Source organism: Homo sapiens, chromosome 3, assembly GCF_000001405.40.
Source record: "Homo sapiens chromosome 3, GRCh38.p14 Primary Assembly".
NCBI lineage: Eukaryota > Metazoa > Chordata > Mammalia > Primates > Hominidae > Homo > Homo sapiens.
Genome location: NC_000003.12, coordinates 96,124 through 98,139, shown reverse-complemented (window position 1 = coordinate 98,139; position 2,016 = coordinate 96,124). Strand labels below are relative to the sequence as shown.

The following is a 2,016-nucleotide window of genomic DNA, read 5'->3' as shown; positions in this document are numbered from 1 at the left end:
TTCATTTTCCTTCCTAGCTATTTCAAAATGGCCACTCTGCACCTGGTAAATGCTAGCTGCTTTCTGTGTGCCTGTTGTAAGGGGAAGAAATCAAACTGTAGATCGTCTAAATGAACTAGCAACCCCTGGACCTCTTTCTTTTTATTAGTGATTCCATGGCAACACTTTCACCAATTTAGAGGTAAAAAAGTGATCACTGATCCTGCATGTGATAATAATTTATCTCAGCAATTTTACATTATGCAAAGCTAAGGCAAGCTGTGCTTTGAGGTGTGCCAGTGGGGTTCGGCTGCAAAAAAAAATCAAGACAGGGTAATCTACAGGGGGAGAAAATGAGTCTTGTTCTGCAAGGTGCCTTCTGCTCTGAAACACATTCAGGAAAATTAATCAGTCCCTAACATCACCGTGTTACTCTCTCTCATTACAAATCAGAGTAAACAATTACTGCATTAAGCACTCTCTGAGAGGTTCTGAAAGGCCACTGGTGCTTACTGCTGATTCTCATAAATGATCTTCAAGGAGCTCCCCTGGGGATGGGAGATCTGCAGAGGTCTAGAGAGAGGTTAGCAAGGAATGCATCTCATTACCATGGTGATGAGACGCAACATGCAGCCTGCCTATAGAACGAATCACCATGATTTTGGACTGTGGTTTTCTGATTTTCTGAAAGAGTGTTAAATTTTTATCGATGGCAGGCTCCCTGGGCACAATGTATTTCTCTTATGAGCACTCTTCAGAAATGGGTGGATCCTCTAAGCTGAATCCTGGCTCCAACACTTAAAACTCTATAAGCTTGGAGAAGGGGTTGAAATAGTAATCATCTATATTTCATAGGGTTTTCGTGGGGATCTACAGAGATTAAAGCCTTTTGAATAGTGCCTGCCCTGGAGTTAGCATTCAATGGTGGTCATTAGTTTATTCTTTTACTTAATTATTTTGACAAGGTCTACCTTCCCCATTAACTGGAAACTCTCAGGGAAAACAAGGGTACTGCTTCTATCTTTTGCACTGCAATACTCATGACACCTTGCAAAGTGACAAGTATATAGTAAGAACTTGGTTAATATTTTGTCAATGAATAAGCAAATGAATGCAGGGTGGCTTTTTTTCTTTGAAAAGGGGAGCCCATCTGTCTGCTTTACCTACAGAGACTGAGGTAGAAACATGAGACTAGGATGGCCCGACTCTAGAAATTCCAGCATTCCCCTTGATTCAACCAAAAGGCAGAATTGGAGACAAGAGACAAAATATGAGAATGTCAATGTGTTGTGACATGCTTGAGATGAGTATGTTTGGAGAGACTGAATGCAATGATAAAAGGGAGAGAATTATTGGAGAAGAAGCTCTGCCCATGTCTATAAGGCCTGTAAGGCCTGTCTACCTCTCTCCTGGGGCTTCCTTTATTTTTTTAAGGCAGAGTCTCAGTCCATCACCCATGCTGGAGTGCAATGGTGTGATCAGAGCTCACTGCAGGCTCAAGTTCCCAGGCTCAAGCAATCCTCCTACCTCAGCCTCCTGAATAGGCTGGACTACAGGCACAGGTAAAAATTTTATTTATTACTTCTGTGGCTATAGCACACAGCTTGCGCTCAGACAAGCACCTCTGCACAGAGATACTTGTGCAGATACCCCACTGTATTAAGTGAACATCCTTATCTCACCCACACATAGTTCTGTTTACTTTTGGATTAAAGGGTCTCTTGCATCATTCTGTGAATGTGAGTGAAAGTATAGGGTGGAATGTCCCCACGTTGGCACATTAATGTGCCATCAGAGGTTTTGAGTTTCTAATCTGACTTATACTTTATCCTCAAACAGCACATTTTGGCCTTAGAAAGCCATCGCTGCTTTAACTCGAAGTGCTTTTACTGGAGTATGTAACTAAGGATGCCTAGGGCAGTTCTCAGCCGATAAAAGTTCTTCCACTTCTCAGTGGAACACAAGAGGGATCAAACAATTACTCAAGTCATGCTCTCACAACAGAGAGAGTCATGGGTAGATTTATTTTTTCTGACC

At 42.1% G+C, this 2,016-nt stretch overlaps 1 annotated feature.

Moving 5' to 3' along the window:
- Window positions 216-766: an enhancer, noted in NCBI's record as "OCT4-NANOG hESC enhancer chr3:139057-139607 (GRCh37/hg19 assembly coordinates)". NCBI's record gives its function as "activates a minimal SCP1, AML or CMV promoter by ChIP-STARR-seq in primed H9 embryonic stem cells {active_cell/tissue: H9 hESC(primed)}" and the evidence as "EXISTENCE:reporter gene assay evidence [ECO:0000049][PMID:30033119]".